The 27,660-nt window shown below is 35.6% G+C and overlaps 1 protein-coding gene across 2 annotated transcripts in view, besides 2 other annotated features; it reads left to right on the forward strand.

The window, feature by feature from the left end:
• The window catches only part of CFHR5 (complement factor H related 5), a 34,645-nt gene continuing 10,659 nt past the window's right edge, over positions 3,675 to 27,660 (forward strand). The window contains exons 1-7 of one of the 2 annotated variants that reach the window (XM_011510020.3): positions 3,675 to 3,755; positions 11,526 to 11,720; positions 12,602 to 12,778; positions 22,721 to 22,897; positions 24,358 to 24,540; positions 24,663 to 24,842; positions 26,769 to 26,945. In XM_011510020.3, coding sequence (XP_011508322.1) covers positions 3,689 to 3,755; positions 11,526 to 11,720; positions 12,602 to 12,778; positions 22,721 to 22,897; positions 24,358 to 24,540; positions 24,663 to 24,842; positions 26,769 to 26,945 — 1,156 coding nt within the window. In that variant the 5' untranslated portion in view covers positions 3,675 to 3,688. Of the gene's footprint in view, positions 3,756 to 6,196; positions 6,364 to 11,525; positions 11,721 to 12,601; positions 12,779 to 22,720; positions 22,898 to 24,357; positions 24,541 to 24,662; positions 24,843 to 26,768; positions 26,946 to 27,660 lie in introns of those variants that run through there. The other variant, NM_030787.4, reaches the window with a different exon arrangement.
• Positions 20,292 to 20,891: an enhancer, noted in NCBI's record as "NANOG-H3K27ac-H3K4me1 hESC enhancer chr1:196960781-196961380 (GRCh37/hg19 assembly coordinates)". NCBI's record gives its function as "activates a minimal SCP1, AML or CMV promoter by ChIP-STARR-seq in naive and primed H9 embryonic stem cells {active_cell/tissue: H9 hESC(naive and primed)}" and the evidence as "EXISTENCE:reporter gene assay evidence [ECO:0000049][PMID:30033119]".
• Positions 20,580 to 20,874: an enhancer, noted in NCBI's record as "tiled region #826; HepG2 Activating DNase unmatched - State 1:Tss". NCBI's record gives its function as "activates a minimal TATA promoter and a strong SV40 promoter by Sharpr-MPRA in HepG2 cells {active_cell/tissue: HepG2}" and the evidence as "EXISTENCE:reporter gene assay evidence [ECO:0000049][PMID:27701403]".

The raw sequence follows: 27,660 nt of genomic DNA on the forward strand, positions 1-27,660 counted from the left end.
TTATTTCTGCATATCCACAAATTTCTCTTGGGAGAAAAAACAAATAAATATAATATTTCTATTCATAGAAATATTTGTATTATTTCTAAAATGGACAAAAGCCTTGATAGTTGATACCTATTTTCTAATATGTATTTTTGTCAATATGAAAAGAAGTATTCCCTAGGAAAATCAAGGAAGAATTAAATAGAGAGCAATACCATGTTCTTGGGCTAGAATACTCAACAGGATAAATAAATAAATTTTTCTCAAATTGTACTATAGGCTTAACATAATTACTTATTAAAATTTCAACAGAATTCTTTGTAAATATAGATCATTCCATACTAAATTTATATTAAAATGCACAGGAGTTAGAATGGCTGAAACATTTTTTTAAAATAATAAAGTTGAAAGGATCACAAAAATCAAATTTGAGGCCTCAAAATATAGCTACCATATTAGAAACAATATAGTATTGATGGAGGGATAGACATAAATCAATAGAACAGATACAGAATCCAGAAATAGACCCACACAAATATGCTCAAGTAACTTTTAACAAAGATGCACAAATAATTCAATACAGAAAAGATCCTTTTTTTTTTTTTAGTTCAGGGCTACCTGTGCAGGTTTGTTACATAGGTAAACTTGTTTCATGGGAGTTAGTTTTACAGAGTATTCTGTCACCCAGGTATTCAGCCTGGTAGCCATTAGTTATTTTTCCTATTCCTTTCCCTCTTCCCACCCTTCACCGTCCATTAGGCCCCAGTGTGTGTTGTTCCCCTCTATGTGTTCATGTTTTCTCATGATTGAGCTCATACTTAGAAGTGAGAATGTGTGGCATGTGGTTGAGAAAAGTTTCTTTTCAACAAATTGTGTTGGGGACTAGCACTTTCTTAGCCAAAAAATTAATTTTGATTTAATCTCACATATTTTACAAAACCTAACTCCAAATGGTTCCTATATCTAAATGCATAATGTAAAACAATCAAACTTGTAGAGGAAGAGAAAATCTTTGTGATCTGGGGTTTGATGGAATTGTTCTTAAACAGGACACCTAAAGGATGACCCATAAAAGAGTGAAATAATAATAATACTTTATCAACATTAAACACTTTTTATCCATGAAAGACATTCTATGAGAGTGAAAAGATAAGCTACTTATTAGCAAAAAATATTTGCAAATAACGTATCTGACAGAGGACTTATACATGGAATATATAAAGAATGCTCTAAACACAGGTAAAACAATCCAATCAATAAAGGTGCCAAAGCCTTGAACAGATCTAACAAAAAAGATATTCAGATGGAAAATAAACATGTGAAAAGTTATTCAATGTCATTAACCATTAGGGAATACACATTAAAACCACAATGAGATTTACTATGTATCTAATAAAATGCTTTAAAAAAATTAAATGAAACACATTGGTAATAGTAAGTGCAAGTGAAAATGCAATACAATGGATCTCTCATACATTGCTTGTGGAAATGTAAAATGTCATAGCCACTATGGAAAACAGACAATTTCTTATAGAGTTCAATAGCACTTTTCATAAAACCCAGTAATCTCACCCCTGACTGTTTACCATAGGGCAGGAGATGGCAAACTATATCTTAGGAACTAGCTATCTATTTTCTTAATAAAGATGTATTGGATGTGAGCCACACCTTTTTATTTATGTATTGTCTATCATTATTTTGGCTCTATAACTACAAAGTTAGGTAGTTGTGGCAGAGGCCATATGGTTCACAACCTTAAAATACTAAACATATGACCCTTCGAGAACAAGTTTGCTGTTCAAGTAAAACATTGCACAAAATTGTCCATCATAGCTTTATGTGTAATAGCCAAAAAGTAGAAGCAACTCAAATGTCCTCAGATGAGCGAAAGAATAAACAAACATGTTACATCCATACAATGGAGTACTTCACAGCAATTAAAAGAAATGAATTACTTATAATACAACAGCTTGGCTACATTTCAAGGACATTACCCTGTGTGAAAAATATCCAAATCAAAAAGTTGACTTACTGTATAATCCAATTTATATAACACTCAAAATGACTAAATTACAGTTATGTAGAACATACTAGTGATGACTAGCAATGAGGGGTGGGGGAATGTGGGGACCATAAAAGGACAGCACACGGGAGTTTTCTGGAGGTGATAGAATAGTTCTGTATACGACTGAGTAGTTCTACATATGACTGATTGTGGTGATGGTTACATGAGTGCATACATGTTGCAAAATTAATATACCACACAAACACAAACGCAAGTTCATGGGAGAGACCATGAAATTCAGTAAGGTTGGTAGCTGAGTTAGTAGTAGAGCACTAATGTCAATTTCCTGGTCTCAATTATTGTACTATAGATATAAGAGATGCAGGAAGTTATAGTTATTGGAGGAAACTGGGTAAAGGGTACATGGGCATTCTCTGTACTATTTTTATGACTTATTATATGAATCTAAGATTATTTCAAAACAAAAATTATTTGGATTATATAGGCTGGGATGTTTTACTTTTATAGCACTTTTGGGGAAGAGAATTTTCAATATTCAAGAGTTATAACCAATTTCAGCAATTTTTCTTTGAGATACTTAAATCTATCTCAAATTTTATCAGTAATAACTTCTACAAGCCAGTTTCATATGTATTTGAATGCTATAATTTGCCTTTTAACCCTTTCATATTTTTTGTAACAACAAACAGTTTCAGACTTAATTTACTTTCCCTGCACTAAACCTGGAATCCACAAAAAAAAGAGGTCCCAGTTTCCTAGATTTATAATGCTGTGTAAGAAACTTATTGGCATAAAACAGCAATCATTTTATTATACTTAAAGATACTGTTAGGAATTGACGCAGGGCACTGAGGTGATGACTTATAACTGTTCCACAATATTTGAGCCTCAGGTGAAAAGATTTAAATGGGTTAGGACTCAAATAACTGAGATTTGGAATCTGCAAATGTCACTCACCTGTATGACACCTGGGCTATTGCCTGGGCCAACTGGGACTATCAACCAGAAGATTTACATATGGCTTCTGCATACAGATTGAACTTCTTGCCAAATGGCAAAAGGCTTCCAAGATAGTGTCAGAGAGATAGTCTTCCAAAATATAAACCCATAACTCTCTAATATCTAGCAGAGTCACTACCACTGTATTGTATCAACAAAAGCATGCCACTAAAAAGTACAGATTTTCAAAATGAGGGAAATGTGATTCCAAATCTTGATAGGATCATGGCAAAATCACATGGCAGAAGAACAAGTGAGATGAGACACAGTGGAGTGAGCATCTTTCAAAATAAAATTGGCCACAAAATTGAAGACAAAGTTATTTTCTAAACTGCCCTTTTATTTCTTATCAAGTATAGTTTCCTTCTCCTTTTATTTGTTGCTAATGTTTGCAGGAGGGCATAATCTCCTGAAATTACTCAGAACAAGAAACAAACAAAAAAGGGCAATCTAAGTTTCTGAATTAGGAGAAATATTCAGCAAATAAAAAGGAGAATAATTGTTGAGTACTGGGCTTCAAAAAAAATAGACAAGAGAAGATAGTGTTAATTCAACTAAAAATCGGCACTAGCTCTGTGAAAATTAACTCTGTGCTTACAAATAAATAACATCCCCTGGATTCAGACAAACCAATGTTTAAAGGTCACAGAGATTAGAAGAAGCCAACAAAAGACTGAGATGGTGAAGCCTTTGAGACAGAAGAGAAACCAGGAGAATGTGGTGTTCCATAGACCATGTGAAGCAGGTATTTCCAAATGGAAGGGGAAAGTCATGAAATTTTTCTGAGTATTCAGTTTTGACCAATGGATTTGATTAGATTGAAGAAGGCATTGGTGACTGTTACAAGAGGGGTTTAAGCGTAGTGTTGGGAATGAAAAAATGAATTAAAGTAGAGATTGTAGATAACATTGGAGTCATCGTATTATAAAATGAGAAGTGAATTAGATTACTAGAAAGAGATTTGGGTTCTATGAACAATTTTTGAGCTTTTGTTGTTGCTCTTCATGATGAAAGATGTTTGGTATGTTTGCATATTGGTGGAAATAATTTGGAAAATGGAGAAATTAATGATACAGGTGAGAAGGAATAATTGAAAGAGCAAAATCCTTGCACAGAAAAGATGGGATCAAATCTGGTAGAGACCATAACAAGATAGGAGTAAAGATCAACATCCAGTGAAGCAAGAGACAATGCAGAAAAGGATGCGTGTGAACAGCAGGTAGTTTTCTTCTGATTGATTCTATATCTAGATGAAAAAATAAATGAAGTCATTAGCAAAGCACAAAGTGAGGATTGGTGGTTAAGGAGGGAGATAATGAAAACAGGAGAGGGGAAAAGCAGTGTGGAAATTATTTAGGACCGTGTTCATTAATTTAAAGCAAGGCAAGTCAGCACAGTTGCCTTTGTTTTTCTTGTAGACACACTCTGCTGCTTCAATTCAGGCACAGGGCAGGTAGAGAATTTATTTGCAAAGGATTGAGGTTTTCTAAGACTTGGATTACAGATAGAAAGGAACGAATGGGCAGGAGAGTGTGTGCAAGGGACTGACTGACAGTGATGAGCCATGGAATCTAATTTAGATGTGGTGGGAAGAGAGAAAATGAAGGGAAGAGAATAGTGAAAAAGTGTCAGGGTCATTGAATGTTTGGAACAAATTTAGTAGAGTAAGTGAGCTAAAAAGATTGTTGAAATGGTCTAGAGTGTGATGCTTAATATTTAGATACTTTAGGTAGTGTAGTAATTGGAAATGACAAGGTTTAGATAGACTAGAATCAATAGTGGAGACTACTAATAGCTCACAGGGACTTCTCTGGTTTCTTGATTGGACATAGCTATGTGCATTCCCATTGACTTCTGAACCACCATAAGTAAGTTTCCTCTTAGTGAGATCATTAGGCTGTTTCTGTAAATTTCCCCATTAAATGTTAAATTTCTCTCAGGCTGGGCACTTTGTTGCTTGCTTCAGCTAGTATCCTCTAGTCTTCTCTGATTGTTTCCCACTGTAATCTCTTTGTATTCAATAGGATCCTCGGGCATGGACCTTTCCAAGCTATAAAGTCACTCTTCTCCAGCAGGGGAGCAGAGCTTCCAGTCCACATAGCCTGCCTGCCCATCCAGGGTTCAACTTCTGAGCCACGGAATTGGGCTGCGAGACAGAGGTGGATGAAAGCATCCGCTCTCTTTTACTGAATTTTATGGAGACTTTCTGGAAAAAATATTTCCCAACATTATGCTGTTTGGCCAATTTCCAGAGACAACCAATGGTTACTTTTAAATTTTTATCCAGTTTTATTGCTGCCTTTTGGTTGGGAGTGAATATACCAAGACCCTCACATAGCCATTCTCGAAGTCCCACCTGAACAAAATGATTTTGAATTATAATTCTGTTCTTCAAACATTTCAGGAAACGTTACTTGGCAAAAATTATTCTTTTTTTTTTTTTTTTTTTTTTTGAGACAGAGTCTCGCTCTGTCGCCCAGGCTGGAGTGCAGTGGCGCGATCTCCACTCACGGCAAGCTCTGCCTCCCGGTTTTACGCCATTCTCCTGCCTCAGCCTCCCGAGTAGCTGGGACTACAGGCGCCCGCCACCACGCCTGGCTAAATTTTTTTTGTATTTTTCAGTAGAGACGGGTTTCACCGTGTTAGCCAGGATGGTCTCGATCTCCTGACCTTGTGATCCACCCGCCTCGGCCTCCCAAAGTGCTGGGATTACAGGCTTGAGCCATTGCGCCCGGCCAGCAAAAATAATTCTTGATTAGACCTTTTATAGTTTATGAAATATTAAAACTGTTAAGAAGGTACCTAATTCTTAGTGCCAGTTTTAAAAGGGAATTTACAACTACAAAAGTGATATTGTTGTATTAAGATGAGGACTGATGACTTGCACTTGCTTGCCTTTTGAAACAGCTGAACCCTTGGCTAGAAAAAAAAAAAAAACCCAGGGGGCCGGCGGTGGGGAGCTTCCTCTCTCCTCTAAACAGTCCATTTCTGATTGTTCCAAACTCAGAGACTCGGTGACTACAACAAGGAAATTGAACAGCAGTTATTTTGCTTAAATAAATATTACATAACGAGCTGAGAATATTATTGTGAAGACACTGATTAGATACTATTTGCTTATTTCACACAACCCTCCATGAACTTTGATGTTTTCCACAAAGGGCTTTACTAAACTAGCTTCCCCTTAGTACATTGAAATTCAAAGTCATGCTTGTAACTGTTAATGAAAGCAGATTTAAAGCAACACCACCATCACTGGAGTATTTTTAGTTATATACGATTGAGACTACCAAGCATGTTGCTCTTATTCAGTGTAATCCTAATCTCATGGGTATCCACTGTTGGGGGAGAAGGTAAGTTGAAAACAGATCCGAATATTTTAGTTCCTTTTCAAATGTATTTATTGATTGTGTGTGTGTATGCATACAAATATTTTTAAATGAATAAATAGCTGAGGATAATTTGAAGGGGTATCACAATATTCATCTATTTTCTGGAAATATTTTCCAACATGCAATTAGCAGGAAAATTGAATGAAATTAATTCTCTCCGTTCTCTAGTTTGCTAAGGGTAAATGGTCACCAAATAGATAATGTAAAGAGAAATCAAAGGAGAGAAAATCTGCTATAATAAAGATGACAAGGTGAAATATTAGTGTAATTCTGCATAAACTCTGCAATGCCACTGACTAGAAAAATCAACCCCAAAAGATTTGGCCACCTTCATTATGTTTTGAGAATTTTATTTTCATAGATTTGATAATTTACATTTTAAATGTTATTAAAATGAAGGAATTCTCATTTCAGCCTAATTATCATTCAACAGGGAAATATATTTTAATGAAACAATAGAAAATATTATTTTTATATATAAACCAGTGAACTGCCAAAAAATTGTTTCTTCTGAGCTCTTCCACAAATTTCAAAAGTGAAATAATATATCACTTCTTTATTAATACTATAAACTGATTCTTATAACATTATAAACTATCCCATTTTATTTCATGTGGAAATTAAAGCCACTATATCAAAAGGATTGCAAACAAAATCTCTAACAAGGTCTAGGATACTGATTAAACTATGTGTGTACGTGAAGTTTCAATCATTGTGCTATATACTCTTTGATTTCCAGAAAGTTTTTATTTTACTGCTTTACTGCTTTCTAATGTTTACAGATCTTTAAATTTTTTGAACACTTTCTTCTCAGTCCTGACATAAGAGAAAAATATGAACCATAAAATGCTTTCTTTTTAAGATATGCCCTTACAAATGTTGCAAAACATTATTTCTATGGGCCTAAAATTCATTTTATTTTGTTTTCACTTTTAGTACTGAGCTATAATCACAAGAGTGCGATTGCATGAGTGTATTTGATTTTTCTTAAGTCTGTGTTTATGATATTTATTAAGTGGCTTAAACATCTGTTACAAATGGCATTACACAAGGATTTCTAAAGGGGGGTGGAAGCAGAGGAAGATAAGTGAAAATTATGAGGATAATATGTAGAATTTTGACAATTCCTAACCCCACAAAACTTTCAAGCTTCAGTCCAGTCCCAGGATAAACTTTAGTGAAATTCTATTAAAAGTTGTCTAGGTGTTAAATGACCTGTAAGTGTGCATTACACTTTTGTTTTGGTGTCTATTTAGAAACTGGCCAAACAGCAGAAATAACAGACGAAAGCAACACTTTTGTACAAATAGAAAACTGCATGCTTCCAGTAGCAAAACATGAATCAAGCAATATATTGTGCTTCATGCTGTAGCAAAGAAGCTGGAAAGAATATGACAACGCCACCCACCCCTCACTACTACTTAGAGTGTCCTAAAAGAAAAGCAAAATGTAAATAGGCAAATAAATTGCAAGGTTTTATATATAGGTAATTGTCTGTGTGTGTGTGTGTGTGTGTGTGTGTGTGTACACTCATACATCACTTAATGATAGGAAAACGTTCTGAGAAGTGTGTCTATAGGCAATTTCGTCCTCCTGCAAACATCATAGAGTGTACTTACACAAACCTAGATTGTATAGCCTACTACCTAACTAAGCTATACGGCCTGTCACTCCTAGACTGCAAACCTGTACAGCATGTTACTGTACTGAATACTGTGGGCAACTGTAGCACAAATGTAAGAATGTGTTTACCTAAACATATAAAAGGTACAATAAAAATACAATATAAAATATTAAGAATGGCAGACTTGTATAGGGCTCTTACCGTCAATAGGGTTTGCAGGACTGAAAGTTGTTCTGGGTAAGTCACTGAGTGAGTGGTGTGCAAATATGAAGGCTTAGCACATTACCATACACTACTGTAAACTTCATGAACACTGAATACTTGAGCTAGGTAAATTTATTTTATTTATATATTTATTTCAATATTTTGGGGGGAGCAGGTGGTTTTTGGTTACATGGATAAGTTCTTTAGTGCTAATTACTGAGCTTCTGGTGCACCCAGGATAGACTAAATTTATTTTTAAAACTTTTCTTCAATAATAAATTAATTTATGATAAGCTTTCTACTTTATCAACTGAAAATCTTTTAACTTGTAACTCTTTTGTTTTAGCTTAAAACACACCTTGTATAGATGTACAAAATATTTTTTCTTTCTATCCTTATTCTGTAAGATTTTTATCTTTTAAATTATTTATTTATTTACCTTCTACACCTTTTTGTTAAAAGCAGACACAAACACACACATTAACCTCGGCCTACGGAGGGTCAGGATCATCAGTATCACTGTCTTCCTCCTCACTCTTGTTCCACTAGAAGGTCTTTAGGGCAGTAACATGCATGGAGCTGTCCTCTCCTATGATAACAAAGCCTTCTTCTGGAATAGTTCCTGAAGGACCCGCCTGAGGATGTTTTACAGTTATTTTTTTTTAATAAGTAGAAGAAGTGAACTATAAAATAATGATAACAACTATAGTACATTAAATACATTAACCAGTACCATGGTCATTTATTATCATTATCAAGTATTGTGTACTATACATAATTGTGTGTGCTATTGTTTATATGACTGGCAATGCTGTAAGTTTGTTTATACCAGCACTGCCACAAACATGTGAGTAATACATTGGATTATGATGTTGTGGTGGTCATCAGTTGATAGGAATTTTTCAGCTACATTATAATCTTATGGGACCACTGTGATATAAGTGATCAGTCATTGACCAAAACGTCATTATGTGGTAAATGACTGTATGTCTGTATATATACGTGTGTGTGTGTGTGTGTGTGTGTGTGTGTGTGTGTGTATCCCAGAAGAAATATATTCACAGTATTCTATCAGAATGTCGAGACAAGGAAAATTATTTTCTGCTTTTGGAGTGGGTTGTTGTGTAACGGCAGGCTTGCCAAAGGACGATAACACTCCTAGCACCATTGCGGATGTGCACAATGGTTATACGATGAATGTTGTAGAGCAAGTTCTAAAGGATAGGTAGAATACAACTGGATGGTGAGAACTAAGTTATTCTGGATAGCGAAGAATATGTAAGTACATATGCATGAAAATCAAGTACTATAATTTTGCAATTTTCAAAAAGTAAATGATATTTAAAAGGAGTTATGATAGGTTAATACTATCAAGACACGAGGGAGTCTTTCCCTCAGTATCTTCTCCAAAACTATCTAATGTCAATTTTTAAACAGTTAGGTAATAAATTTAAGGTTTCACAAGGTTAAATACCACAAGAATTATTTCAAATATTGTGCAACATTAAATATTACTTCTAGGTAGTTAAAAAAGAGAAATTTCCCTTGATTTGTCAGCTGAATTTCTGCATGCTTTTTCTAAATAAGGTGAAAAACAAAACAATTTCTTATGCAGCAATGCTATATTCAGGAAATATCTTGAGCTAAAAAATGAGCACACTATATTGAGGAAATATCTCGAGCTAAAACAGCATTCAAAGATAAAGTACATCAAATCCATAGAATGTACAATATCAAGAGTAAACCCTAATGTAAACTATGGGCTTTAATGACAATAATACTGATAGTGAAGGGGGCTATTCATGTGGCAGGGAAGAGGAAGTGGTATATAGGAAATCTCTGTACCTTCCACTCAATTTTACAGTAAAAAAACTGTAAATAAAAAATTAAGTCTAATAAAAAATATGTGTATATATAAATATATATATACACAAGAAAAAATAGAGTCAAAACATGAATATTTCACCCATTTTCTACATTGTTTTACCATATCTTGCACCATAGTGCATATGGATGTATGTGTGAGTGTCTATATAAATATATCCAGTAGTATCCTCAGTATCATTAGTATCCTTAAGGAATTGTTCCAGGACTCTTTTCACCCCCAGCAGATACCAAAATCCACAGATGCTCAAGTCTCTAAGAGAGAATGGCGTAGTATTTGCATATAACATATGCACATCCTCTCATATAATTTAAATCATCTCTAGATTATTTATAATATCTAACATAATGTAAATACTATATAAATAATTGTTATATTGTATTTTTAATTGCATTGTTTTTATTGTTTTATTATCTTTTTATTGTTTTTTCTTTTTCAGATATTTTGGACTTGCAGTATAATAAACATTTATGTATACAGCATTTACCAGAATTTAGCTCTAATTTTATCTCGGTTGAGTTGTTCTTAGTGATTTTCTTATACTCTTTAAATTATTTCCACTGAAACCACATAAACTTTGTAACCAGAAAGTAATCAGAATATTAATAAACAAAAAATCAAATTACCTACCCAACATTTTTACTGCACCAGAAAAAAAAATAGGACAGATTTTTCTGGTGGAAATACCTATGACAGTTGATGAGAATAGAAAAAGAAATAAATCTGAGAGCTGAGAACAATCCTATCACTCCTCTACTGTACACTACATAGACCAGGGAGATTTGCTACTCTTACAGTCTGCCTTCATTCTTAAATTGTTGTGTGAGGATATTGTTCTTGAAGACATTGCAGAAGAGTTCATATTTCATATCATTCCAAAATATAAATTTTATATTCATTAACAATGACCTCGTCGGTCCGGCATGGTGGTTCATGCCTGTAATCCCGGCAGTTTGGGAGGCCGAGGCGCATGGATCACCTGAGGTCAGGAGTTTGACACCAGTCTGGCCAATATGGTGAAACCTTGTCTCTACCAAAAATACAAAAAATTAGTCAGGTGTGGTGGCAGGCACCTGTAATCTCAGGTACTCAGGAGGCTGAGGCAGGAGAATCACTTGAACCCAGTGGAGGCTGCAGTGAGCCAAGATTTGCGTGATTGTACTTCAGCCTGGGCAACAAGAGTAAAACCTGAAACTCCCTCTCAAAAAAAAAAAGATCTCCTCAAATACTCTTCTATTCTTATTTAGGGATCTTTCTTCATTCCAAATTAGTACACTGGAAAGCATTTAAGCTAAAGGCATTTAAGCTGAATGAAAAACAAAACTATAAATGAGATGACTAAAATATAATCTAGTGATTCATCGATGTAGCTCTTTATTTAATTCTTCAGTTTTGTGTTATTTTTCCCAGGAACACTTTGTGATTTTCCAAAAATACACCATGGATTTCTGTATGATGAAGAAGATTATAACCCTTTTTCCCAAGTTCCTACAGGGGAAGTTTTCTATTACTCCTGTGAATATAATTTTGTGTCTCCTTCAAAATCCTTTTGGACTCGCATAACATGCACAGAAGAAGGATGGTCACCAACACCGAAGTGTCTCAGTGAGTAAATGCCCTGTTCATTAAATGGATGTCATTCAGTGAATAGAGAAGGATGTGCCGGACAAGATCATAAGGTCTTGATAATCACAAGGGCAATGACCAGAGGAGCTGGAAAAATGGGAGATGTAGTCCTCCTATTTTGAGACCCCTCCTATGAGAATCAATGAAGAATAAATATATCAACTGTCTTGCATTACCTGGAAATGCCCTACATGTTGAAATACATTAATTTTTTTAAACTGATGATTAATATATTTGACTGCTAATAGTTCTTTACTAATATTCATTCGGTAGCAGCCTGATCATAGTTTTCCTTTAAAATAAGTCATTTTATATAGATATTCTGTTTTGAATTTACCGTTCTCTTGCATATTGCGAGGTAAGGTTTGGTATTTTAACTTTTATATTTTCAATAAATCATTTATTTGGTCCTTCAAAGTGTAGCTATATTAATCCTCCAATAAATGTAGAGACCAGACTCCAATGATAACAGGTGCATTAAAAAAGAAAAACAATGGGAGAGAGAATAGATGAGGCAACAAAGGAGATAGTAATGGTCTTTCTCCTTTTGTAAGAAACATTTATGAGAATTGCGAGAAATATTTATATGAAGATATTGTTTTGGTGCTAGAAGAGTTTATAAACACAAGATTTTTATTATAAAAACCATACAGCAACAACATGAAATATTAACTTTCGTATATATATATATAGGAACAAAAAATATATTTCATCATTTATACGGTAGCATGACCCAAATTCTTTTGAAAATATTTACACATGATGTCAGTTTTCAAAGTTTTCCTTTCTTAATGAAATATTTTTAAATGCACTTTTTTTGCTACTTCCATCTTGTACATTAATCAATTTTTGTTCCTTAGGAATGTGTTCCTTTCCTTTTGTGAAAAATGGTCATTCTGAATCTTCAGGACTAATACATCTGGAAGGTGATACTGTACAAATTATTTGCAACACAGGATACAGCCTTCAAAACAATGAGAAAAACATTTCGTGTGTAGAACGGGGCTGGTCCACTCCTCCCATATGCAGCTTCACTAGTAAGCAAAATACCACTCTCTCAGTTTTGCTAATTATTTAAAGAAATAAATCTATAGTTTATAGATTAAATATAGGTTAAATATAGGTTTCACCACTACTTCTATCATTATTTATTTGATTTTCGGTTCCAATTGTGTCTAAGTAGATGTGCAATAACATAGTTTGCCTACCTATATAAATCAAATGTACGTAATAAGAAGAAATATTAGAGAAGAATACACTTTGAAGATAATCCATTAATGTAACAACTGTTTGTTGTTTATATTGTCAGGTTAGTTGACAATAAATGGTTACAAAACTGAGGTATTAAAGTGCAAATTAGTCCAATTACAGTTAAAATGTCTTATAAGGAAGTTTTTAATATTTATCTTTATTTAAATTAATATGCTTGAGTCAATAAATCATTTTCTAAGTTGTAAAAAGTCCATACTTCTGAGAGGTATGTGTATTTGTGAGCGGCTTAGAATTTGGAAAACGATTCTTTTGGAAGCCTGTGGTATAAATGATGGCACCTCACAGTCCTGTGTGAACTCTTGTAATTCTTCATCTTTATAGCTCTTCAGTAATTGTTCTTTGCCCAGCCCAATGCGATTCCATCCTATGCTTACACACCTCAGTATTCAACCAAACACTCAAGGAAACTTCCATAGTCTTTCTCTTCATACCACTTTCTCTCTGCTACTATGTCCAGTAACTTCTGGCCACCATAGTCACCAAGACTGACCTTACTAGTCTCAACTAAAGAAGACCACTGAGTTCTTCCTGGGTTCTCCCTCCTTGCACAGTCTAGAAAAGGCTTCCCAATAAACAGCTGGGCTTTCATTGACTTTGCTTTATTATTTTGAAGTATTGAGGGTTTTTTCCTTTTTTCAGTCATCACAGTTCTGTACTGGGTGATTTCCAGCATTCTGAAAATAAATTTTGTAAAATTTTCTAAATTTTTTTTCAGTGGGATGCTATGTTGATAGCAGCTACTCCATCCTATCAAGAAATAGAATCTGTGGTAGGTTTTTCAAAAGATGTTATGTTATCAAATATTATTCCACATCTTCAACTCTTAATTTAAACCTCTAGAGCCAGGCACAGTGATGTGCACCTGTAGTCCCCGCCACTGGCAAGGCTGAAATAGGAGTTCAAAGCTTCAGTGAGTTATGACTGCACCAGTGCACTCCAACCCAGGCAACAAAGTGAGACCCTTCCCCACTAGAAAAACAAAACAAAGTAAAGCAAAATGAAATTTAAACCTCTAGAAATGGAGTCTTTTTAAAACAGCTGGAACTGCGATAGTTTTTCAGTAAACAGTTACGTCATGGTCTCTTTCAATTACAAGGGGTTAAAACATTATTAACATTTGCAAAAAAAAAAAATAACAAATGTTACTAACACTAGAAAATTCCAGTGATTGAAAAGGGTTCAAAATGTATAGGCTTCAGTTATGGTATAAATATTTCCATGCTTTCTCTTATCCATACCTGTTCATGTCATGAACAAGCTCTCTTCATTTTGAGAGATGATGGCTATTGTCAGACCAACAATTATATTTTAGAAGCTTGACAAATTAAGTTTGGCCAGCGTAACCCATACAAGCTGGCTCTGTGTACAGTCTGTAAGATTTTGTTAGTCTTTGAACAATTCGGTTGCTTTGTGACACAAAAAATATCCCAGGCTTAACTCATGTTTCCACTGCCCCAGAACTAGAATCAGCCATACCTCCAATAAGTCCTGGTTCCATTTAGTGGGCAATGACATTTAGAAACTAAGTTGTCAAAATAAACTTGTTTCAAAATTTAGCACATTTTATTTAATCAGAAAAAGCACATATCTTATTGTTCAAGTTCTCAGAATATTGCTGCCTTTCCCTTTCTGCCCGTTGCTTATTCCAAAAGCACAAGACAACATATTGAGGTTATCAGAGTAGATGGACAGATGGACCAAGTCAGAGTCTCCAAAGTGAAAGAATTCAGCAGAACACTCTGTGCCTAAGGTTGAATGGTAGCTCACGAACACTGTGGAAAGTTAATAAAGTTTCAGGGCAACTAGACTCCTAATGATAGCGGCACAGTCTGTTTATTCATGTAAGGTAACATCTTGCAAGTTATGGTAATCCATGTTGCAGGGATTAGTATGGCGTCATCTCTGGGGGCCGTTATTCCATTTACAACACCATGCAATAACCATATATGAATAAAGCAGCTGGAAAACCCTACATTGGCCAAGATCGATTATTTTCTTTTTATATATATATATATACTTTAAGTTCTAGGGTACATGCGCACAACATGCAGGTTTGTTACATAGGTATACATGTGTCATATTGGTTTGCTGCACCCATTAACTCGTGATTTACATTATGTATTTTGCCTAATGCTACCCCTCCCCTACCTCCCACCCTACAACAGGCCCCAGTGTGTGATGTTCCCCACCCTGTGTCCAAGTGTTCCCATTGTTCAATTCCCACCTGTGAGTGAGAACATGCAGTGTTTGGTTTTCTGTCCTTGTGATAGTTTTCTCAGAATGATGGTTTCCAGGTTCATCCATGACCCTGCAAAGGACAAGAACTCATCCTTTTTTATGGCTGCATAGTATTCCATGGTGTATGTGTGCCGCATTTTCTTAATCCAGTCTATCACTTACGGACATTTGGGCTAGTTCCAGGTCTTTGCTATTGTGAATACTGCCACAATAAACCTATGTGTGCATGTATCTTTATAGCAGCATGATTTATAATCTTATGGGTATATACCCAGTAATGAGATCACTGGGTCAAATGGTATTTCTGGTTCTAGATCCTTGAGGAATTGCCACACTGTCTACCACAATGGTTGAACTAGTTTACACTCCCAACAACAGTGTAAAAGAGTTCCTATTTCTCCACATCCTCTCTAGAATCTGTTGTTCCCTGACTTTTTAATGATCGCCATTCTAACTGGTGTGAGATGGTATCTCATTGTGGTTTTGATTTGCATTTCTCTGATGACCAGTGATGATCAGCATTTTTTCATGTGTCTGTTGGCTGAATAAATGTCTTCTTTTAAGAAGTGTCTGTTCATATCCTTTGCCCACTTTTTGATGGGGTTTTTTCTTGTAGATTTGTTTAAGTTCTTTGTAGATTCTGGCTATCAGCCCTTTATCAGATGGGTAGATTGCAAAGATTTTCTCCCATTCTGTACGTTGCCTGTTCACTCTGATGGTAGTTTCTTTTGCTGTGCAGAAGCTCTTTAGTTTAATTAGATTCCATTTGTCTATTTTGGCTTTTGTTGCCATTGCTTTTTGTGTTTTAGTCATGAAGTACTTGCCCATGCCTTTGTCCTGAATGCTAAGGCCTAGGTTTTCTTCTAGGGTTTTTATGGTTTTTAGGTCTAACATTTAAGTCTTTAATCCATCTTGAATTAATTTTTGTATAAGGTGTAAGTAAGGGATCCAGTTTCAGCTTTCTACATATGGCCAGGCAGTTTTCCCAGCACCATTTATTAAATAGGGAATCCTTTCCCCATTTCTTGTTTTTCTCAGGTTTGTCAAAGATCAAATGGTTGTAGATGTGTGGTGTTATTTCTGAGGCCTCTGTTCTGTTCCATTGGTCTATATCTCTGTTTTGGTACCAGTACCATGCTGTTTTGGTTACTTGTAGTATAGCCTTGTAGTATAGTTTGAAGTTAGGTAGCCTGATGCCTCCAGCTTTGTTCTTTTTGCTTAGGATTGTCTTGGCAATGCAGCCCCTTTTTTGATTCCATATGAACTTTAAAGTAGTTTTGTCCTATTCTGTGAAGAAAGTTAGTGGTAACTTGATGCGGATGGCATTGACTCTATAAATTACCTTGGGCAGTATGGCCATTTTCACGATATTGATTCTTCCTCTCCATGAGCATGGAAAGTTCTTCCATTTGTTTGTGTCCTCTTTTATTTCGCTGAGCAGTGGTTTGTAGTTCTCCTTGAAGAGATTCTTCACATCCCTTGTAAATAGGATTCCTAGGTATTTTATTCTCTTTGAAGTAATTGAGAAGGGGAGTTCACTCATGATTTGGCTCTCTGTCTGTCTGTTATTGGTGTATAGGAATGCTTGTGATTTTTGCACATTGATTTTGTATCCTGAGACTTTGCTGAAGTTGCTTATCAGCTTAAGGAGATTTTGGGCTGAGACGATGGGGTTTTCTAAATATACAATCATGTCATCTGCAAACAGCAACAATTTGACTTCCTCTTTTCCTAATTGAATACCCTTGATTTCTTTCTCCTGCCTGATTGCCCTGGCCAGAACTTCCAACACTATGTTGAATAGGAGTGGTAAGAGAGGGCATCCCTGTCTTGTGCTGATTTTCAAAGGGAATGCTTCCAGTTTTTGCCCATTCAGTATGATATTGGCTGTGGGTTTGTCATGAGTAGCTCTTATTATTTTGCCATATGTTCCATCAATACCTAGTTTACTGAGAGTTTTTAGCATGAAGCGCTGTTGAATTTTGTCAAAGGCCTTTTCTGCATCTATTGAGATAATCACGTGTTTTTGTCATTGGTTCTGTTTATGTGATGGATTACATTTATTAGTTTGTATATGTTGAACCAGCCTTGCATCCCAAGGATGAAGCCAACTTGATTGTGGTGGATAAGCTTTTTGATGTGCTGCTGGATTTGGTTTGCCAGTATTTTATTGAGGATTTTCACATCGATGTTCATCAGGGATATGGGTCTAAAATTCTCTTTTTTTTGTTGTGTCTCTGCCAGTCTTTGGTACCAGGATGATGCTGGCCTCATAAAATGAGTTAGGGAGTATTCACTCTTTTTCTATTGATTGGAATAGTTTCAGAAGGAATGTGACCAGCTCCTCTTTGAACCTCTGGTAGAATTCTGCTGTGAATCTGTCTGGTCCTGAACTTTTTTGGGTGGTAGGCAATTAATTATTGCCTCAATTTCAGAGCCTGTTATTGGTCTATTCAGAGATTCAACTTCTTCTTGGTTTAGTCTTGGGAGGATGTATGTGTCGAGGAATTTATCCATTTCTTCTAGATTTTCTAGTTTATTTGCGTAGAGGTGTTTATAGTATTCTCTGATGGTAGTTTGTATTTCTGTGGGATCGGTGGTGATATCCCCTTTATCATTTTTTATTGCATCTGCTTGATTCATCTCTCTTTTCTTCTTTATTAGTCTTGCTAGCAGTCTGTCTATTTTGTTAATCTTTTCAAAAAACCAGCTCCTGGATTCATTGATTTTCTGAAGGGCTTTTGTTGTCTCTATCTCCTTCAGTTCTGTTCTGATCTTAGTTATTTCTTGCCTTCTGCTAGCTTTTGAATGTGTTTGCTCTTGCTTCTCTAGTTCTTTCAATTGTGATCTTAGAGTGTTGACTTTAGATCTTTCCTTCTTTCTCTTGTGGTCATTTAGTACTATAAATTTCCCTCTACACACTGCTTTAAATGTGTCCCAGAGATTCTGGTAAGTTGTGGCTTTGTTCTCCTTGGTTTCAAAGAACATCGTTATTTCTGCCTTCATTTTGTTATTTACCTGGTAGTCATTCAGGAGCAGGGTGTTCAGTTTCCATGTAGTGGTGCGGTTTTGAGTGAGTTTCTTAATCCTGGGTTCTAACTTGCTTGCACTGTGGTATGAGAGACAGTTTGTTGTGATTTCTGTTCTTTTACATTTGCTGAGGAGTGCTTTACTTCCAACTATGTGGTCAATTTTGGGATAAGTGCTATGTGATGCTGAGAAGAATGTATATTCTGTTGATTTGAAGTGGAGAGTTCTGTAGATGTCTATTAGGTCCGCTTGGTGCAGAGCTGATTTCAAGTCCTGGATAACCTTGTTAACCTTTTGTCTCATTAATCTGTCTAATAATGACAGTGGGGTGTTAAAGTCTCCCATTATTATTGTGCAGGAGTCTAAGTCTCTTCGTAGGTCTCTAAGGACTGGCTTTATTAATCTGGGTTCTCCTGTTGGGTGCATATATATTTCGGATAGTTAGCTCTTCTTGTTGAATTGATCCCTTTACCATTATGTAATGGCCTTCTTTGTCTCTTTTCATCCTTGTTGGTTTAAATTCTGTTTTATCAGAGGCTAGGATTACAACCCCTGCTTTTTTTTTTCCTTTCCATTTGCTTGGTAGATATTCCTCCATCCCTTTATTTTGAGCCTATGTGTGTCTCTGCACGTGAGATAGGTCTCCGGAATACAGCACACTGATGGGTCTTGACTCTTTATACAATTTGCCAGTCTGTGTCTTTTAATTGGAGCACTTAGCCCATTTACATTTAAGGTTAATATTGTTATGTGTGAATTTGATCCTGTTATTGTGATGTTAGCTAGTTATTTTGCCCGTTAGTTGATGCAGTTTCTACCTAGCATAGATGGTCTTTACAATTTGGCATGTTTTTGCAGGGGCTGGTACCGGTTGTTCTTTTTCATGTTTAGTGCTTCCTTCAGGAGCTCTTGTAAGGCAGACCTGGTGGTGACAAAATCTCTCAGCATTTGCTTGTCTGTAAAGGATTTTAATTCTTCTTCACTTATGAAGCTTAGTTTGGCTGGATATGAGATTCTGGGTTGAAAATTCTTGTCTTTAGGAATGTCGAATATTGGCCCCCACTCTCTTCTGGCTTGTAGAGTTTCTGCCGAGAGATCCACTATTAGTCTGATGGGCTTCCCTTTGTGGGTAACCCAACCTTTCTCTCTGGCTGCCATTAACATATTTTCCTTCATTTCAACCTTGGTGAATCTGACAATTATGTGTCCTGCTCTTCTCGAGGAGTATTTTTTTGGTGTTCTCTGCATTTCTTGAAATTGAATGTTGACCTGCCTTGCTAGGTTAAGGAAGTTCCCCTGGATAATATCCTGAAGAGTGTTTTCCAACTTGATTCCATTATCGCCCTCACTTTCAGGTACAGCAATCAAACGTAGATTTGGTTTTTCACATAGTCCCATATTTCTCGGAGGCTTTGTTCATTTCTTTTTACTCTTTTTTCTCTAAACTTTCTTCTCTCTTTATTTCATTAATTTGATCTTCAATCACTGATACCATTTCTTCCACATGATCAAATCGGCTATTGAAGCTTGTACATGCATCACGTAGTTCTCGTGCCATGGTTTTCAGCTCCATCAGGTCATTTAAGGTCTTCTCTACACTGTTTATTCTAGTTAGCCATCCATCTAATCTTTTTTCAAGGTTTTTAGCTTCCTTGCGATGGGTTCAAACATCCTCCTTTAGCTTGGAGAAGTTTGTTATTACCAATCTTCTGAAGCCTACTTCCGTCAGCTTATCAAAGTCATTCTCTGTCCAGCTTTCTTCTATTGCTGGTGAGGAGCTATGATCCTTTGGAGGAGAAGAGACACTCTGGTTTTTAGAATTTTCAGTTTTTCTGCTCTGGTTTCTCCCCATCTTTGTGGTTTTATCTACCTTTGGTCTTTGATGTTGGTGACCTACAGATGGGGTTTTGTTGTGGATGTCCTTTTTGTGGATGTTGATGCTATTTCTTTCGTTTTTTAGTTTTCCTTCTAACAATCAGGTCCCTCAGCTGCAGGTCTGTTGGATTTTGCTGGAGGTCCAGTCCAGACCCTGTTTGCCTGGGTATCACCAGCAGAGGCTGCAGAACAGCAAATATTGCAGAACAGCAAATATTGCTGCCTGCTCCTTCCTCTGGAAGCTTCATCCCAGCGGGGCACCCACCTGTATGAGGTGTCAGTTTTCCCCCTACTGGGAGGTGTCTCCCAGTTAGGCTACACGTGGGACGGGGACCCACTTGAGGAGGCAATCTGTCCGTTCTCAGAGCTCAAACACCATGCTGGGAGAACCACTGCTCTCTTCAGAGCTGTCAGACAGGGACATTTATGTCTACAGAAGTTTCTGCTGCCTTTTGTTCAGCTATGCCCTGCCCCCAGAGGTGGAGTTTACAGAAGCAGCAGGCCTTGCTGAGCTGCAGTGGTCTCTGCCCAGTTCAAGCTTTTCCAGCTGCTTTGTTTACCTACTCAAGCCTCAGCATTGGCGGACGCCCCTCCCCCTGCCAGGCTGCTGCCTCACAGGTCGATCTCAGACTGCCACACTAGCAGTGAGCAAGGCTCTGTGGGCGTGGTAACTGCCAAGCCAGGCACAGGATACAGTCTCCTGGTGTGTCCTGGAGACTGGACACACCACTAAGACCACTGGAAAAGTGCAGTATTTGTGTGTGAGTGTCCCGATTTTCCAGGTACAGTCTGTCACGGGTTTCCTTGGCTAGGAAAGGGAAATCCCCCAACCCCTTGCACTTCTATTTTTTCTAAGACCACTGGAAAAGTGCAGTATTTGTGTGTGAGTGTCCCGATTTTCCAGGTACAGTCTGTCAGGGCCTCCCTTGGCTAGGAAAGGAAAATCCCCCAACCCCTTGCACTTCCCAGGGAGGCAATGCCCTGCTTTGCTTTGGCTCCCCCTCCATGGACTGCACCCGCTGTCCAACCAGTCCCAGTGAGATGAACCAGATACCTCAGTTGGAAATGTAGAAATCACCCATCTTCTGCATCGATCACGCTGGGAGCTGCAGACCAGAGCTGTTCCTATTCGGCCATCTTGGAACAGAATCAAGATCAATTATTTTCAATGGCATTTTGTTTTTAACAATTAGTTAAAAAAAGACTATAAACAACCAATAAAGAACTGTCATGCAAAATACTGGAATAACAAACAGAGATTTAGAGATACACATTTTATTTTAGTGAATTAAGACACATTCTCTTGGGATTTGCTCAAGTAAACTGTGATCAATACATTAAAGTGCCAATAACAGTATATAAAACTAGCTAGTTTGAAAATATTTATGAGATTATTAGTTAGAACATATTTCAATTTTATTTTTGTGTATGCTTGATTTATTCAGATTATTTTTGTCTTGAATGTCAATTATTTATTTTACACAAGAATTAATATATAATTTTATAAACTAACCATTAATGAAAGATTATTAAATGAGAAAAACACACATATTCATATACATATCTATTTCTAATTGAATCAGAATATATTCATAATGAGTTAGTTTTTACAAACATATTAGTGATAGAGTTGAGTATAAGGGAAAGATTCAAAAAACCTAGATGGGTTTTTTAAAAGTCTTTGATATTTAGTTACCCTTTTGTAAAACTGGGAATAATCTGCTTTTAAATATTCCCTTCAACTTAACATTTATTAGTTGTATCCTGTTTGGGTGTTTCACATATCTACTGTTTTTTGAGACAGTGTCTCACTCTGTCACCCAGGCTGGAGTGTAGTGGTGCGATCTCGGCTCACTGCAACCTCCGCCTCCTGGGTTCAAGTGATTCACCTGCCTCAGCCTCCCTAGTAGTTGGGACTATAGGCGCCCACCACCCCATGCCTGGCTAATTTTTGTATTTTCAGTAGAGGCAGGGTTTCACCATGTTGGCCAGGCTAGTCTTGAACTCCTGACCTCAGGTGATCTGCCCACCTTGGCCTCCCAAAGTGCTGGGATTACAGACATGACCCACCATGTCAGGCCCACATATCTACTTTTTATACATCATTTTTTTTATTTGACAAAAAGTAATTAAATATGTTGCAATTTTATTTTGTTACTTGAAGGAATTTTTTGTGATTTAGTGAGAAAAAAATATTCCTATTCTGTATTATAAACAAATAATGTTATTAAACTTATTTATTAAACAATAAAATTAGAACTAATATTGCTAATTAAACAAATTAAATAATTTACTGTATGAGTAACTTCACAGGACATTCTTACTACAATCCTGAAAAGATTCTCATAGAAAATGTTACCTTGCTATATACAGTTTCCCAATTTGCCTGAGGGGTCTTAGATATATTTATTGGGTATAAATAATTAGTCTATATGTTTTCTCGAAGGCAAGAATATATTTTATACTCTGTATATGAAGCCCCTTGCATCTTATTTTTATATAGCACACATTAAATTTGTTTCTGCAATGAAAATTCACATATGTTCATTTAATTTTATTTTTAGAAGGAGAATGTCATGTTCCAATTTTAGAAGCCAATGTAGATGCTCAGCCAAAAAAAGAAAGCTACAAAGTTGGAGACGTGTTGAAATTCTCCTGCAGAAAAAATCTTATAAGAGTTGGATCAGACTCAGTTCAATGTTACCAATTTGGGTGGTCACCTAACTTTCCAACATGCAAAGGTCAGTATTTATTTTAGAAGTGATGAAACAAGAATTTGATTTTTATAATAATGCCCATATATTTTTATTGGAGCTTATATTACATCTATAATCTGACAAAGTGGTAAAATGGCAAAGGAGAAAGGATGCAGTTCTATAGTAATTGAGCTGCATAGATTATTTAGGTGTCCGTAATCAAGGAGTAATTCTACTTCTGTGTTTTACAATACATAATAGGATTTTATAGGTCAAAATATAGTAGCTGGAATTGAGACGTCTTAGGATTTTTCCATCTAGCTCAATAAAAAATTTATACTTTTTAGAAATATTGTACGAACAATGTTATATTTTATTAAGTAATTAAGAAAATAAGTCATTGCATATACGAATTATTCATTAGAAAACAGTGATGATTTATACCTGCTTCAGATGGCACTATTTTTATCAAAAATGGCTTATCACATTATTTGAAGTATGTATTAGTCCCTTTTCACAATGCTGATAAACACATACCCAAGACTGGGCAATTTACAAAAGAAAGAGTTTTAATGGACTCACAGTTTCACGTGGCTGGGGAGACCTCACAATCATGGCAGAAGGTGAAAGGCACATCTCGAATGATGGCAGACAAGAGAAGAGAGTTTGTGCAGGGAAACCTCCCTTTATAAAACCATCAGAGCTCGTGAGACTTATTCACTATCATGAGAATAGCACAGGAAAGATCCGCCCCATAATTCAATTACCTCCCACCAGGTTCTTCCCACAACACATAGGAATTGTGGGAGCTACAATTCAAGATGAGATTTGGGTGAGGACACAGCCAATCCATATCAAAGTATTTATAGATATTAATAAAAGTTATAACTATACATTGCATATGTATATTATATCACATATTTGATAACTATTTACTTTTATATAACTTTCAGATTATTGACCTACTTAAAAATCTTCAAGGGTACAACTTAATATCCTGATTATAATAAACAGCCTACAAAATATTGGGAAAGATGGACAATCAGGATGTTTAAATATAGAGAGGATATAAGATTGTACTAAGAAAATATTATTAATTTGGTGAAATGTAAAAGATATTTTGTATATGTAGGCAAATGTCTTTATGAGATAGCATTCTGAAGAATTTAGGACTAAAATTTCACTGTCATTTACTTTCAATTACTTCACAAAAAATAAGTAAATAGGGCAAAGTGTAACATTTTTATATCTAGGTAATCAGTTTATAAGTGTTCATTATGCATTCTTTCTCCTTTCATTTGCTCAAAATTGTTCATCATGAAAAGTGTCAATATTTGAGGAAACGAATGCAGTCAATACACTATGTACACTGCAAAAAACACATGTCCCCAAAAATAGAAGTGCAATATAAAGGCAATTAATTTCTAAGTCAAAAATTTAGTAACTCCACATTTTTCTATACTTATAAGACCATTTAAGCATTATTTATGGTTTCTTTATAATAGGACAAGTACGATCATGTGGTCCACCTCCTCAACTCTCCAATGGTGAAGTTAAGGAGATAAGAAAAGAGGAATATGGACACAATGAAGTAGTGGAATATGATTGCAATCCTAATTTTATAATAAACGGGCCTAAGAAAATACAATGTGTGGATGGAGAATGGACAACTTTACCCACTTGTGTTGGTAAATAAATATTAACATTTAAACAGGACAGTTACTATTACTTTGCACTTATATATAAATACACATGTAAACAGATTTAAAATATTTTCAGAGTAAGCACTCATTTTATTACATTTTCTTAGAACAAGTGAAAACATGTGGATACATACCTGAACTCGAGTACGGTTATGTTCAGCCGTCTGTCCCTCCCTATCAACATGGAGTTTCAGTCGAGGTGAATTGCAGAAATGAATATGCAATGATTGGAAATAACATGATTACCTGTATTAATGGAATATGGACAGAGCTTCCTATGTGTGTTGGTGAGAAAACATTCCTAAACTTTATATTTGATTATTTATCATTTTGATTGGGATTGTATAAAGTGTATAAATCTGGCTAGAATTACAATTTTATTGATACTGACTCTTCCTTCCACAAGTAAAATATGTCAATCCATTTATTCAGGTCTTACATTAAACTTTACCATATGGTTTTATGAATTTCTTGTTATTACTGCACAGATTTCTTCACCAATTTATTTGGGATTTTTCTGGCATGATGAATGGAAACTTTTATTAATGTATATGCTTGAATAGTTATACTTTCTATATGCAAGAATGTGATTTAATTGCATACATTATTTTTGTTTCCAGTAACCTTGTTGAATTTCTGTATTAGTTCTAATATTTAATTGGGATATTGTATTTCTACAAATGATGGCGATTTAATTTCTTTTATTTCATTGCTTTAACTTAGTCTTTACCTCAGCATGTTCCAGATAGAACAACCTAAAAAATAGCAATGTAGCTTGAGTTCTATTAAATTCCAGAGTGTTTGGAATCCCTTCATAGAAGAAGAGTAGGGGACTAGGACCCAGGAACTAGGCATGATCCTTGCTCTTTCTGGTCCCATAATTCTCTTATTTCTATTCCTAATTATCTACTTAGTTTGTCGGTTTCCTCCACAGAAGTAGTAAGTAGTAAGTAGTAAGTAAGTAGTAAGTAGTAAGTAGTAGTAGTCTATCAGCCTGTGTGCTCTACTCTTACCTTGCAGCCTCAGGACTTCCAGCCTTGACACTTAAGTACTTGCAGGTATTTTTTTTCCCGACACCCTCAGATCCTGGCCTCTTTTGTCCTATCTCTAGCAACCTCAATACATTAAAGCCTCTAATTTTGAACTTTAAAGACAAGCAGACTTTCCGCCGCTGTTCTCCTCCTTACAGAAACTGAAACAGAACCGCCTCTCTCTCCATCTCCTGGACTTTTGGATAATCAACTGGCCCACTCATTGCTGGGAAAAATTACTGTAGGTGTTGCCAGCCGTTGTCCCAGCAAATACCTGGTCAGTGGCCATCCGTGATGACCTATTGTGAGGGAATGTTTTCCACTACCAGGAGCCAGAACGCTGTTATGGGAAGATGTAGATCATATATCTTCATGGTCATCAACTTTTATGCAAGGAGTACATAAATATCAACCTCTAGCCCCATATGGGGTGAATTAAAAATAGAAACTATTGCAGAAAACACCTGTAAGCATAGAAGTAGCAGAGCACACTCCATGTCTCATTATCCCATCCTTTTACACACTAAGGAAAAGGCTCCATAACTATCTACATGTTTATGGGAAACGGGAAAAAAATGTAACAATGAGAACTACTTAGACAAGCAAGAGGCTTAGTAGGAATTTATGTTCTGAAGCTCAGTTGTGTTATTATCAGTGAGTTCTTCCCCTGAGAATACTCTGACTTACTGAGTCAGAGTTTTTGCTGAGCTTTTGAAATGTGAGTCATTGAACCTCAAGGGGGACCCAGATCTATCTCTTACTGATGCTTTGCTTCCTGCAGACTTACCCATGTATTGCCTCTTTTTATTATTTAAATGTTTTGAAGATATTTAAGATAGTTTAGTGCAAAACAATCATACATGTGTACATTTTCAGAGCCTCTAACAATTCATTTGTAGCTTCCTAAGAACTATCTTTCAGTCAAAACTCCCACTAGGAAAACCTATCTTGCACTTTCATTTCCCAGAAAACTTTCTGACCTACTTTCCTGTCATTCAAAGATGGGATACAGTTTTTTGTTTTATTTTTTCTTTTTCCAACAGCATTGTCTATTTTGTGCAATGAGATTAAGAATAAGTTTTGTGATGTTGCTTAAAAGCATCAAACATAATTATGCTATTAATATTGCAGATATTTTATTGACATAATTGTTTAGTTTCTATTTAATATTATTTTTTATAGCAACACACCAACTTAAGAGGTGCAAAATAGCAGGAGTTAATATAAAAACATTACTCAAGCTATCTGGGAAAGAATTTAATCATAATTCTAGAATACGTTACAGATGTTCAGACATCTTCAGATACAGGCACTCAGTCTGTATAAACGGGAAATGGAATCCTGAAGTAGACTGCACAGGTAAGATTTGTTTAAAACATTTTGTTGATCTTGTTGCTTCTTTACAAGAAAAATTATTTTGAAATTAGAATGTTTTTAAATTAAATATTTATTGTGGCATATAATTTCTATGCTAATAGTAAAGTAGAAACTAGTTATAATACTCTTTCCAGACAAATGTTATTCTTTAAAAGCCTTGGCTTTCTGGTAAAGATGAGAGAGTAAAGCTGTTTTTACTCTATTACAGTCTCACAAAACCTTGAAAGAAAAAAAGAAATAAAGAACTGTAAAAAAAGAACAAAACTTAATCTTCAATGACATTAAGAAACAATTAAAACCCCAATTATGCACTGTGAAACAAAACTAACAGATATTGCCAATTCTGGACCAGACAGTAGGCTGAGTAAAAAGTAGGCTGAGAAAGAAAATATATTTGAGTAATCAATTATTTCCCTAAGAAAAAGTCTCACATTCCTCGAAGGCTTATATTCAAATCATTTACTTTGAGTAATAGGATTATAAATTACAAGTAATTATAAAATGGGGCACCATATTAGATTAAAATAAACCAGAACTAGAGAAAACAAAGTGCTTATAAAGGAATGACAATAAAAGAGAGAAGATAGACTGCAGACTTCTCATCAGCAACGTCAAAAGCCGAAGAAAATAAGGTAATCTCTTCAAAGTGCTTAGTGAAAGTAACTGGCAACCAGTCATTCTATGTACCAATATAATT

The sequence above is a fragment of the Homo sapiens genome, chromosome 1 (assembly GCF_000001405.40).
Source record: "Homo sapiens chromosome 1, GRCh38.p14 Primary Assembly".
NCBI classification, from domain to species: domain Eukaryota; kingdom Metazoa; phylum Chordata; class Mammalia; order Primates; family Hominidae; genus Homo; species Homo sapiens.